General features: G+C 48.1%; 2 annotated features.

The window, feature by feature from the left end:
- Positions 7,941–8,144: a silencer, noted in NCBI's record as "fragment chr19:54526043-54526246 (GRCh37/hg19 assembly coordinates)". NCBI's record gives its function as "represses an EF-1alpha promoter that drives an FKBP-Casp9 reporter gene in an ReSE screen in K562 erythroleukemia cells {active_cell/tissue: K562}" and the evidence as "EXISTENCE:reporter gene assay evidence [ECO:0000049][PMID:32094911]".
- Positions 10,484–10,778: an enhancer, noted in NCBI's record as "tiled region #12456; K562 Activating DNase matched - State 5:Enh". NCBI's record gives its function as "activates a minimal TATA promoter and a strong SV40 promoter by Sharpr-MPRA in K562 cells {active_cell/tissue: K562}" and the evidence as "EXISTENCE:reporter gene assay evidence [ECO:0000049][PMID:27701403]".

Raw genomic sequence — 13,722 nt, 5'->3', positions numbered from 1 at the left:
TTTCCCAGGACACAGAAATTTCAGGGCTAAACCAGAGAAAATCCTGGGCGAACCGGAACAATTTGGTTGCCCTAGTTGTAAGCACGTGAGTTGCAAAGATGTAGGTGTGATTATTCCCTTGATTCAGTAAACAATTTTTTTCTTTTTTCCCATTGCCCTATCAACCCAACTCCTAGGTCTAATTCTTTACCTGTGCCCTTGGGTGACATGTAAAGCAAGTCTCATAACTTTTTTTTTTTTTGAGACAGTCTTGCTCTGTTGCCCAGCCTGGAGTGCTATGGTGCAGTCATGGTTCACTGCAACCTCTGCCTCCCAGGTTCAAGTGATTCTCCTGCCTCAGCCTCCCGAGCAGCTGGGATTACAAGCATGTGCTACCACGCCCAGCTAATTTTTGTATTTTTAGTAGAGACAGGGTTTCGCCATGTTGGCCAGGCTGGTCTCGAACTCCTGACCTTAAGTGATCCGCCCACCTTGGCCTCCCAAAGTGCTAGGATTACAGGTGTGAGCCACTGCGCCCGGCCTTCTCATAATTTTTATAGTCATCTTAGGTCATAAAGACTTCCAGCTGCTTCTTAAAAAAGTCACATACAAGAAAAAAATACAGTGTCAGCTCAGTGATTAAAATCCTTTCGGCAGGTTGCCTGCAACGTGGAGGAAGCGTGGTCAGCTTTTCCTTTATCTCCCCACGTGGAGCTTCTCCTGCTTCCCCCACTCTCTTGCAAGGCTGCAGACCTCTCACCTGCAGTTCCCTTGATGCCTGTAAATGCAGCTCCTCCACTTGGTCACATTACTGAATCCTTGGGGATCCGTCAGTACATTTCCAGCTTCTCTCTGCAGACTTCACCTCCTACCTCCAGGTGGCGCTCCTGCAAAGGATAAAAGCTCCTGGTACATTCATTCTCATATTCATTCTCTCTCCCCCCTCTCCCCCCCTCCCCCATTTCTCCCCTCTCCCCTCTCTCCCCTCCCACCCTCTCTCTCTCCTCCCACCCTCTCTCTCCAGTGAGGAAAGACCCTGTGTTAGCCCGTTCTCACACTGCTATAAATAGCCGAGGCCGTGTGTGGTGGCTCACACCTGTAATCTTAGCACTTTGGGAGGCTGAGGTGGGCGGATCACTTGAGGTTAGGAGTTCGAGACTAGCCTGGTCAACATGGTGAACGCCACCTCTACTAAAAATACAAAATTAGCCGGCTATTGGCGCATGCCTGTTGTCCCAGTTACTCGGTAGGCTGAGGCAGGAGAATCGCTTGAACCCAGGAGGCGGAGGTTGCAGTGAGCTGAGATTGCACCACTGCACACCAGCCTGGATGACAGGGGGGCTCAGTCTCAAAAAAAAAAGAAAGAGATTTAATTGACTTACAATTCCACATGGCTAGGGTGGCCTCAGGAAACTACAGTCATGGCAGAAGGGGAAGGAGAAGCAAATATCTTCTTCACAAGGCAACAAGAGAGAGAGAAGAGCAAGCAAAGGAGGAACTTGCCAAACGCTTATAAAACCATCAGATCTCCTGAGAACTCACTTTATCATGAGAACAACAAGGTAGAAGCCACCTCCATGATTCAATCACCTCCCACCAGGTTCCTCCCCCAACACCTGGGGATTACAATTCAAGATGAGATTTGGGTGGGGACATAAAGCCAAACCATATCAGACCCCATTCCTCTCTGGACCCGCCCCTCACCCCATATAACTACTCTGAATTGTCCAGTTGAAGAGACTGTCATCCTCCATCACACATCTACGGTGGACAGAGGATGGGACTCACAGCACACCAACAGCTTACGTAAACAAACACACAGAAACAAAACAAAACAAAAACTCTTCTAATCTCTGGAGACTATTATTCTAAGTGAAGTAACTCAGGAATGGAAAACCAAACATCATATGTTCTCACTGATATGTGGGAGCTAAACTATGAGGATGCAAAGGCATAAGAATGATACAATGGACTTTGGGGACTTGGGGGGAAAGGTGAGAGGGGGGCGAGGGATAAAAGACTATAAATGGGGTGCAGTGTATACTGCTTGGGTGATGGCTACACCACAATCTCACAAAGCACCACTAAAGAACTTACTCATGCAACCAAACACCACCTGTATCCCAATAGGAAAAAAAATACCTTCTAATCTCAACACTCCTTTCTTTTTTTTTTCTTTTTTTAATTTTTATTTATTTATTTATTTTTATTTTATTTTATTATTATTATACTTTAAGTTTTAGGGTACATGTGCACAATGTGCAGGTTAGTTACATATGTATACATGTGCCATGCTGGTGTGCTGCACCCACTAACTCGTCATTTAGCATTAGGTATATCTCCTAATGCTATCCCTCCCCCTTCCCCCCAACACTCCTTTCTTACCTTCAGGTGGACAAGAGGCCAAGGGTGTGGGGAAATTAGGTTTTCAGCATTTTCTCCTGAAGTCATGCAGAAATGGCCTTACTGTGAGATCTGACCTCGCTGGCATCTATAATCTTTGGGCCTGAGCAGAAACTGAGATTGCAATGAATCTACTTTGACATTCTGTTATATACATGTGCAAAAACCTTGGGAATACTGGGTATGAGCAGTTTGGAAGGAGAATGGATGGTAGGAATTCATTTTCATAAAAAAAAAAAAAGCTCATGAATAAGTGCACAAGAAAATGTAAGATCAGCCGGGCACAGTGGCTCACACCCGTAATCCCAGCACTTTGGGAGGCCGAGGCAGGCAGATCACCGGAGGTCAGGAATTGGAGACCAACCTGACCAACACAGAGAAACCCTGTCTCTACTAAAAATACAAAATTAGCCGGGCGTGGTGGTGCATGCCTGTAATCTCAGCTAATGGGGAGGCTGAGGCAGGAGAATCACTTGAATCCGGGAGGTGGAGGTTGTGTTGAGCTGAGATCGCACCACTGTACTCCAGCCTGGGCATCTCTAAAATATAAAAATTAGCCAGGCTTGGTGGCGGGCGCCTGTAATCCCAGCTGCTCAGGAGGCTGAGGCAGGAGAATCGCTTGAATCTGCGGGGTGGAGGTTGCTGTGAGCCAAGATGGTGCCACTTCATTGCAGCCTGGGCGAAAGAGTGAGACTCTGTCTCAAAAAAAAAAAAAAAAAAAAAGAGAACCCAGACCTGGAGTGGTGTCTCACGCCTGTAATCCCAGTATGGTGTCTCACTGCAGCCTTGACCTCCTAAGCTCAAGTGATCCTCCCGCCTCAGCTTCCTGAGAAGCTGGACGCACAGGCAAATGCTAATTTTTAAAAACTTTTTTGTAGAGATGGGATTTTGCCATGTTGCCCAGGCTGGTCTTGAACACCTGGGCTCAAGAGATCCTTCTGCCTCAGACTCCCAAAGTGCTGGGATTATAGGCGTGAGCTGCCACACCTGGCCTCCAGAACTATTTTAAAATAAAAAGTTAAGCCAGGTGAGGTGGCTCGCTCCTGTAATGCCAGCACTTTGGGAGGCTGAGGTGGGCAGATCACTTGAGGTCAGGAGTTTGAGACCAGCCTGGCCAACATGGTGAAGCCCTGTCTCTACGGAAAATACAAAAATTAGCTGGGCATAGTAGCAGGTGCCTGTAGCCCCAGCTACTCGGGAGGCTGAGGCAGGAGAATTGCTTGAACCCAGGAGGTGGAGGTTGCAGTGAGCCGAGATCGCGCCACTGCACTCCAGCCTGGGCGACAAGAGCAAGACTCTGTCTCAAATAAATAAATAAAAAGTTAATTTTTTGGAAAGGATGAGATAAAAAGCAGACGAAGGGCATAGAAAGGCCCTTCCAACGCGGCCCTCTCCAACATGAGGAAGCCTCCCACGAGATTTCCACTCACATCTCAAGAAACACAATTGCATCCAGCCCCTTCCTTAAATAACCACTAGCAGTGGGCGTGAGTTTACCTAACTGGGCTAAAGGTGTTTAAACTTCAGTGTGCATCAGAATCACCTGGAGGACTTGTCAAACCATAGGTTGGAGAGGAGGAGAAAGGAAAAGCTCACCTTCAGAGTTTCTGACTGATTCAGTAGGTCTGGGGTGGGGCTCAAGAATTTGCCTTTCTGACGAGCTCCCAGGTGATGCTGACGCTGCTGGTTCAGGGACCACACTTTCACAACCAGCACGTCACTAAGCCTTAGACTAATCAAGATTCATGCCTGAAACTAGAAAAGGGCCAAGTCTCCAAGGAACAAGGGTGGCCAACTGACACCTGAACAAAATCAGGGTTCTCGGCTGGGTGCGGTGGCTCAGGCCTGTAATCCCAGCACTTTGGGAGGCTGAGGTGGGCGAATCACGAGGTCAGGAGTTTGAGACCAGCCTGACCAACATGGTGAAACCCCGTCTCTACTAAAAATTCAAAAATTAGCTGGGTGTGGTGGCGAGCACCTGTAATCCAGCTACTGGGGAGGCTGAGGCAGGAGAATCACTTGAATCTGGGAGGTGGAGTTTGCAGTGAGCTGAGATTGCACCACTGCACTCTAGCCTGGGCGACAGAGCAAGACTGCATCTCAAGAAACAAAAACAAAAACAAAATCAGGATTCTCTTAGCAGAGAAGATTTTGGATTTTGAGAAACACCTGTCCCTTATATCGTACGATGACTTTTCTCTTATTTTTTCTGATCTTAATATAATTATATCAGCTTCCTGGAGAAGTTCCTCCACCACATTTTCTTACTTGTTCATTTTTCTTCAGCTGTATCAATTCTGCCTTTTTTTTTTTTTTTTTTAAAGAGACACGGTCTCACCATGTTGCCCAGACTGGTCTCGAACTCCTGGTCTCAAGTGATCATCCCACCTCAGCCTCTCAAAGTGCTGGGATTACAGGCGTGAGCCACGGCACCCACCCTACTGCCTATTCTGTTAGAGGATAATGTTATATATTTTTTACCATCATGTATTTTTATACTTTTTATTTCCATAAGCCTCTTGCTTTATGGAAAATTGTTCTTGTTTCATATTGCTAATATGTGTCCTTTTTTAGTATGTTTCTTTTTTTTTCTTTTTATTTTTTGAGACAGGGTCTTGCACTGTCACACAGACTGGAGTGCAGTGGCACAATCATAGCTCACTGCAGCCTTGACCTCCCAGGCTCAAGCAATCCTCCTGCCTCAGCCTCCCAAGTAGCTGGGGCCACAGGTGTGCACCACCACACTGGGCTAATTTTTTTTTTTTTTTTTTTGTAGAGATGGGAATCTCACTATGTTGCCCAGGCTGGCTTTGTTAAGAAGTACATTTCTTATGCTAATTATAAATTCTTGATCTATCTGACACCTCCTCCCCCGAAAAAAACACTCTCATTGCTTCACCACACCAAGCAACTGACAAAGCTTTATATTCAAGTCCTCAGGGAGAACATCCAGTTTTAAAACACAGCTGCAAGTTGTTAGACATTCTCTCTTCTTTTTTTTTTTTTTTTTTTGAGATGGAGTTTCGCTCTTGTTGTCCAAGCTAGAGTGCAATGGCACGATCTCAGCTCACTGCAACCTCCACCTCCCAGGTTCAGGCAATTCTCCTGCCTCAGCCTCCAGAGTAGCTGGGATTACAGGCACCCGCCACCATGCCTGGCTAATTTTGTGTGTGTGTGTGTGTGTGTGTGTGTGTGTGTGTGTGTGTGTGTGTGTATTTTTAGTAGAAACGGGGTTTCACCATGTTAGCCAGGCTGGTCTCAAACTCCTGACCTCAGGTAATCCACCTGCCTCGGCCTCCCAAAGTGCTGGGATTACAGGCATGAGCCACCGCGCCCAGCTGACATTCTCCCTTCTACAGGTGCAGTCTATAGCTCCTTGCTCTGAAATATTGGTGAGTCCCTGACTGCTTCGGCTGATAGAGTCAGAATAGACACCGTCTCTACATTTAACAAATAAACTAAAAATTATCCAGGCATGGTGGCATATGCCTGTAGTTCCAACTATTTGGGAGGCTGAGGCAGGAGGATCTCTTGAGTCCAGGAGGTCAAGGCTGCAGTGAGCTATAATTACACCACTGCACTCCAGCCTAGAGGCAACTTCTGAGTCTAGATCATAAAAGGTGATTCACCTTCTGCCTTGTTTGCTGAACCAAACGTCATGCAGGAAGTCTGCCTGTCCTGAGACCACCATGCTGTGAGGAAGCCCAAGTCACACAGAGAGGCCACGTGTGGGCACTCGGGTCAGCTGTCCTCCAGCTGCGCACAACCGTGGAGTCATCCAGCCCAGACACCGGACGTATGAGTGAAGACGCTCCCAGATCTTCCAGATAATTCCGGCACCCTCCATTCCAGTCTTTGCAGCTGAGGCTGCAGATAAAACCACCCTTGCTGTACTCTGTCCAAATTCTTGACTGCTAGAATCTACGAGTATAAATAAACTATAGCCGGGCGTGGTGGCTCACACCTGTAATCCCAGCACTTTGGGAGGCTGAGGCAGGCGGGTCACCTAAGGTCAGGAATTCAAGACCAGCCTGGCCAACGTGGTGAAACCCCGTCTCTACTAAAAATACAAAAATTAGCTGGGCGTGGTGGCTCGTACCTGTAATCCCAGCTAGCAGGGAGGCTGAGGCAGGGGAATCCCGCTTGAACCCGGGAGATGGAGGCTGCAGTGAGCCAAGATCGCACCACTGCACTCCAGCCTGGACGACAGAGCGAGACTCTGCCTCATAAAAGGAAGGAAGGAAGGAAGGAAGGAAGGAAAGAAGGAAGGAAGGAAGGAAGGAAGGATGGATGGATAAATAGCAGTTGTTTTTTGCCACGAAGTTTGGGGTGACTGGGTGTAAGTCAGCAGGTAACCAGAACAGAGAAGCTGCCCTGAGAGAGGGCAATTGTCCTAATTTAAAGGGATGACGCCTTTCGTTCCGTGGCCCCAGCTCTAGGTCCAAGTTGTTGCTGTCATTTTCGCCGCTAGGTGGCGGCTCATGACTGTTTCCAGCCAACGGCGGGGCAGCAAGAGGGGATGTCAATTTCTCTCCCAGCCTCGCCAGCTGATGGGGCCTTCAGCCTGGTGCCTAGTACATCAGTTAAGCACGGTGATTATTATTTCCTTGCAGAAACCCAACCTCACCCTACCTCTCCGCACGCTCATACCCTCGTTTCCAGCCTCAAGCCTTTTGCTGGAGTCCATGAAGCCCCGCAGAGAGGCTGCAGACACGGGGGCGCCTTAGCCCAGTTCCAGAGACCCTAGTTCAGCCTGCAGCTTGAGAAGGAAGTGGGGAGCTGGGGAGGCCACGCTCCCTCCGCTCCGGTCTTCTACCCCAGGGCTGGTCTTTCGCTGACGCTTCAGGAAATGAAACGCAGTACATTGCAACATCATGCACTGTTTCCCCCCCTACAATATGAAATTTAATTTTTTTAAGCATTACTGATTTATTTTTTAGGGCAAATAAAAATTGTATGTACTTATGGTGTACAACATGATGTGCTGAAATAGTATACGTTGTGAAAAGGCTAAATTGAGCTAATTTACATGTGCATTGCCTCACATTTATCATTTTTGTGTGTGTGGTAAGAACACTTACAATCTACTCTCTTAGGAAGGCTCAAGAACACAGCACATCCGTGTTAACTAAAGCCCCTCTGTTGCAGCATCATCCTCTTAAAGCCCATCCCCTCCTGGGCTTCCCTCACTGTGAGTCTGCAGCTGACACCACAAAAATTCAGGCCATCAAGTTCTAACTCATAAAATAGAATTACCATGGGATCCAGCAATTCCATTTCTGGGGAGATACCCAAAAGAATTCCAAGCAGGATCTTGAAGAGATATGTATGTATGTATGTATGTATTTTTTGAGACGGAGTCTCACTCTGTCAGCCAGGCTGGAATGCAGTGGTGCGATCTCAGCTCACTGCAACCTCTGCCTCCTGGGTTTAAGTGATTCTGCTGCCTCAGTCTCCCGAGTAGCTGGGACTACAGGCACCTAACACCATGCCCAGCTAATTTTTGTATTTTTAGTAGAGATGGGGTTTTGCCATGTTGACCCGGGTGGTCTTGAACTCCTGACCTCAGGTGATCCACCCTCCTCGGCTTCCCAAGCCAAGGATTACAGGCATGAGTCACTGCCCCCAGCCTATCTGTGTATTTATTTTTGAGACAGGGTCTCTCTCTCTGTTGCCTGGTGAGTAATACAGTAGTGTGATCTTGGCTTACTTATTGCAGCCTCGACCTCCTGGGCTCGAGCGACCTTCTCACTTCAGCCTCCTGAATAGTTGGGACTACAGGCATGCACCACCAAGCCCAGCTACTTTTAATTTTAATTTTATTTTATTTTACTTTTGTAGAGACAGGGTTTCACCATGTTGCCTAGGCTAGTCTTGAACTCCTGGGCCCAAGTGATCCACCCTCCTTGGCCTCCCGAAGTACTGGGATTACAGGCGTGAGCCACCACGCTCGGCCGGAAGAGATAATTTATACGTTGATGTTCTTAACAGCATTATTCACAAAAACCAAGAAATGGAAGCAATGTAAGTGCCATCAATGAATGAATGTGTAAAGAAAGTGTGGGATCTACATAAATGGACAAGCATTCAGCCTCTGAAAGGAAGGAGATGCTGACATGTACCTGTGGGAGGCCAACACTTGTTACCAAGAGACCTGATCAGTGAAGAACCTTGAACAGCCACCCCGGAATGACTTCTGGTTTGGGGCTTTCAAAGAGTGGGTGACAGTGTGGCCCTTGCCTTCATCAGCCTTGAATCCGCGAGGAGCTGAGCACGGGATCGTGGTCTGAGAATCAGGGGAAAGACTCCTGGGCAGCTTCCCTGTTCTGAGCAAGCTACTCCCCTTCCCTGGAACTGTCTTATGTATCCAGTGATTTCACAAATATTTGTCGAGCACGTACTATGGACCAGGCATTTTGAAAAGACTGTTACTGTTGGCTGGGTGCGGCGGCTCATGCCTGCAATCCCAGCACTTTGGGAGACCGAGGCTGGCGGATCATGAGGTCAGGACTTCCAGACCAGCCTGACCAACATGGTGAAACCCCATCTCCACTAAAAATACAAAAATTAGCTGGGCGTGGTGGTGGACGCGTGTAGTCCCAGCTACTTGGGAGGCTGAGGCACGAGAATCACTTGAACCCGGGAGGCAGAGGTTGCAGTGAGTTGAGGTCACACCACTGCACTCCAGCCTGGGCGACAGAGCAAGACTCCATCTGAAAGAAAAAAACAACAAACTGTAGATTGTAACAAGAGACATGCTAGAAATCAAGAGGGATGCACTATAACACAATGAGTGTATGGGAGGTGGGTCTTTCCTTTGCAAAGTGGGTAAGGGAAGACTTGGATGAAAATATGTTGAAGCTGAGAATTAAAAACAGTGTAAGTATCCAGCCATGAGAAATGCAAAGAGAATGACACTTCAGGCAGAAGGCACAGCGCAGGCAAAGGCCCTGGGGCAGGAGCAAGCCTGGCCAGTACTAGTTCCAAGAATGGACACAGGCCAGCGTGGCTGAGGCAAAGTGAGCCGGCTAGAGCACAGCAGGAGAAGGGAGGTGCTAAGCCCGGATCATGCAGAACTTTGCAAGTTGTGATAAGAAGTTTGAATGTGGGGCCGGGTGCAGTGGCTCACGCCTGTTACCCCAGCACTTTGGGAGGCCAAGGCGGGGCAGATCACGAGGTCAGGAAATCAAGACCATCCTGGCTAACACGGTGAAACCCCGTCTCTACCAAAAATACAAAAAATTAGCCAGGTGTGGTGGTGGACGCCTGTAGTCCCAGCTACTTGGGAGGCTGAGGCAGGAGAATGGCGTGAACCCGGGAGGCGGAGCTTGCAGTGAGCTGAGATCGCACCACTGCACTCCAGCTTGGGCGACAGAGCGAGACTCCGTCTCAAAAAAAAAAAAAGAAGTTTGAATGTAGCTGGGCCCAGTGGCTCATGCCTGTCATCCCAGCACTTTGGGAGGCCGAGGCAGGAGACCAGCCTGACCAACATAGAGAAACCTCATCTCTACTAAAAATACAAAGTTAGCCGGGCGTGGTGGCGCATGCCTGTAATCCCAGTTACTTGGGAGGCTGAGGCAGCAGAATCGCTTGAACCTGAGAGGGGGGGTGCAGTGAGCCAAGCTCGTGCCATTGCATTCCAGGCTGGGCAACAAGAGCGAAAATCTGTCTCAAAAAATAAAAGAAGTTTGAGTGTGTGTGTGTGCGTGTGGTTTTTTTTGTTTGTTTTGTTTTGTTTTGTTTGAGACTGAGTCTCACTCTATTGCCCAGGCTAGAGTGCGGTAGCATAATCTCAGCTCACTGCAACCCCCGCCTCCTGGGTTCAAGCGATTCTCCAGCCTCAGCCTCCAGATAGCTGTGATTACAGCCATGCACCACCAGGCCCAGCTAATTTTTGTATTTTTAATAGAGACGGGGTTTCACCATGTTGGCCAGGCTGGTCTCGAACTGCTGACCCCAAGTGATCCACCCGCCTCGGCCTCCCAAAGTGCTGGGATAATAGGGGTGAGCCACCGCGCCTGGCCTAGAAGTTTGAATTTTTGTCCAAACGGAAAAGGAAGTGGAAGGTGGAAAATGCCTTCGTAACACTGATAAGGCAGGCAAGCAAATGATTAAGCCCTCCCTATCTTGTGGCTTTGCAAGCCTCGCATTTCAGCACTCTTGTTTGTCCTTGCACGGGAAATGAGTAGGCAGTGAATAATTTTTAGGTTGATATTGTCAGATTCCGTGCAGTTCCCCCGCTCTGTCCACAGACCTCACAAGGATTGTGTCACATCAGTTAAGGGCAGCAGGAGGGGCGGGGCTGGGAACAGGGTGGGTCTTCAGCCTTGCTGGCACCCTCTGGTCTGACTCAGCCCTTCTCACCTGATCACAATAGCGTCCTAAACCATCTCCCTGCTTCTACCTTCATTTCCCGCCTTGACCATCTGCTCTCAACGTAGCAGACAGAGGGATTCTTTTAAAATAGAATTGCTAGACTTGGGACATTAAAATACAGGATGCCCAGTTAAATTTAAAGTTTTAGATAAACAAAAAAATTTTGAATGTAAGTATATCTCATGCAGTTTGGGGGCTGTACTTAGACTTAAACATTTTATTTGTTGTTTATCTGAGTTTTGAAATCAACTGGGCATCCTACATTGAATCTGGCAACCCTATTTCAGTTTAATTTTTATTTTATGTATTTTTTTTGAGGCAGGGTCTGTTGCCCAGGCTGGAATGCAGGGACACGATCATGGCTCACTGCAGCCTCCAGGCTCAAGTCATCCCCCCACCTCAGCCTCCTGAGTAGCTGGGACTACAGGTGTGCACCACGATGCCTGGCTAAACTACATGACACATATATCCTCTCACCGCAGTTAAAATGGCTTTTATAGGCCTAATCCAGCACTTTGGGAGGCCGAGGCGGGCGGGTCACCTGAGGTCAGGAGTTCAAGACCAGCCTGGCCAACATGGCAAAACCCCGTCTTTACTAAAAATACAAAAATTAGCTGGGCGTGGTGGTGGGTGCCTGTAATCACAGCTACTCAGGAGGCTGAGGCAGGAGAATCGCTTGAACCAGGGGGAAAGGGGTTGCAGTGAGCCAAGATCACGCCACTGCACTCCAACCTGGGCGACAGAGAGAGACCCTGTCTCAAAAGAAAAAAAAAAAGTGATTGTGGCAAAGAAGGGCTTTTCTCAAAGACATTGCTTCATCTGTAACCACAAGCCTCATTTCTTTACTGTACTCCACCCTTTGGTGGAGTAACTTATCAACATGGGCTCAGTTTTGAAGAACTGATTACCTAAACAAAAAAGATATTTAGTTACCTTGCCTAACAGGAAGATTTTGTGCAAAAACTCATGCATGTTGCTAAGAACCAAGCCCTTTCTGTTTTACCACTCATGTCTTCAATGTTTGGCCTGTTGCCTCCTGGTCACCCATGACCCGGGGCAGCTCCACACATTGTGTCCTGTCCAGACCATGCTCAAGGGTGAGGCAACAGCTCAACAACTCCCTTCTCCCCTTCTATCTTCCTTGTTTTTTTTTTTTTTTGGAGACGGAGTCTCGCTCTGTTGCCCAGGCTGGAGTGCAGTGGCGTGATCTTGGAGGCAACCTCCGCCTCCAAGGTTCAAGCGATTCTCCTGCCTCAGCCTTCCGAGTAGCTGAAATTACAGGCACCTACCACCATGCCCAGCTAATTTTTGTATTTTTAGCAGAGATGGGGTTTCACCATATTGGCCAGGCTGGTCTTGAACTCCTGACCTCGTGATCTGCCCACCTCAGCCTCCCAAAGTGCTGGGGCTACAGGCGTGAGCCACCGCGCCTGGCCTCCTTCTAGCTTCTTATCAGGGAGTGATACCCATTTCAGAACCTCCTCATGCTCACTTCTCTTTATTTCATAGTGGTCGTAAACTATTCTTTACCCATGCCTGGACTTTATTTTTGTGGTAAAATCTTACCGTTACTTAAAGCAAGATTTTACCATTCTAACTATTTAAAAAATGTACTATACTTACTGATACTAAGTACATAAGTACCTCCAAAATGTTGTGCAAGCATTGCCACTATCTAGTGTCAGGAAAAAAAATTTTTTTTTTTTTTGAGACGGAGTCTTGCACTGTTGCCCAGACTGGAGTGAAGTGGTGTGATCTTGGCTCACTGCAACCTCCACCTCCTGGGTTCGTGCCATTCTCCTGCCTCAGCCTCCCGAGCAGCTGGGACTACAGGTGCCCATCACCACGCCCAGCTAATTTTTTGTACTTTTTTTAAGTAGAGACGGGGTTTCACCATGTTAGCCAGGATGGTCTCGATCTCCTGACCTCATGATCTGCCCACCTCAGCCTCCCAAAGTGCTGGGATTACAGGCGTGAACCACCGCGCCTGGCCTTTTTTTTTTTTCTTTTTTTTCAAGACAGGGTCTCACTCTGTCTTCCAGGCTGGATTGCAAGGGTGCAATCACAGCTCACTGCAGCCTTGACCTTCTGGGCTCAAGTGATCTTCCCACCTCAGCCTCCCGAGTAGCTGGGACCGCAGGCATGCACCGCCATGCCTGGCTAATTTTTGTATTTTTTTTTTATAGGGAACTGGCTTTCACCATGTTGCCCAGGCTGTTCTTGAACTCCTGAGCTCAAGCGATCTGCCTAACTTGGCCTCCCAAAGTGCTGGGATTAAAGGTGTGAGCCCCAGCACCTGGCCTAGCATCAGAAACTTTTAATCACCCCGAAAGAAAATCTCTCAGATGAGGCATTTAACAAATGTTAGCTATTGTTATTATCAGTAGTAATAGTAATAGGAGAAGGAGGAAGAGGAAGAAGAAAAGGAAGAAAGAAGTAAAAGGAGGAGGAGGGAGGGATGAGAGGGAAAGGGAAAAAAGACGAGGAAAAGATGAGAAGGGAGGGGAGAAAAAGAGAGAGACAGAGAGAGAGAGAGAGAGAGAGATGAGAGATGGGCTGTGTCCAGAGGCTCTGGGGTGCAGGGATGAGAAATTCTTCAGAAGTTGATGATCTGGGCACCCTTGTCATCTCCTATCTTGCTTCCTAGGCTCAGCCCTGCCCACATTCCTTCTGCTAGGAAACCACCCAGGGACTTGCTCCTTTCTGCCCTAACACCACTGTTGCCAGGCAACCTTCTAGTACTTCTCCAGCTGTCATCCTTCATGAAGCATTGGGCCTCTTTCCAATTCCGGCTAAAGTCAGAACCCTCAGAAGAGAAATTGAGGAAGGAGAGATTTCATGAGAGGTTATAAAATTAAAATAGGCTGGACGCGATGGCTCATGTCTGTAATTGCAGCACTTCGGGAGGTTGAGGTGGGCAGATCGCTTGAGCTCAGGAGTTCAAGACCAGCTTGGGCAACATGG

This window comes from Homo sapiens, chromosome 19 (genome assembly GCF_000001405.40).
Source record: "Homo sapiens chromosome 19, GRCh38.p14 Primary Assembly".
Classification (NCBI taxonomy): domain Eukaryota; kingdom Metazoa; phylum Chordata; class Mammalia; order Primates; family Hominidae; genus Homo; species Homo sapiens.
This window is presented reverse-complemented; position numbering and strand designations above follow the sequence as displayed.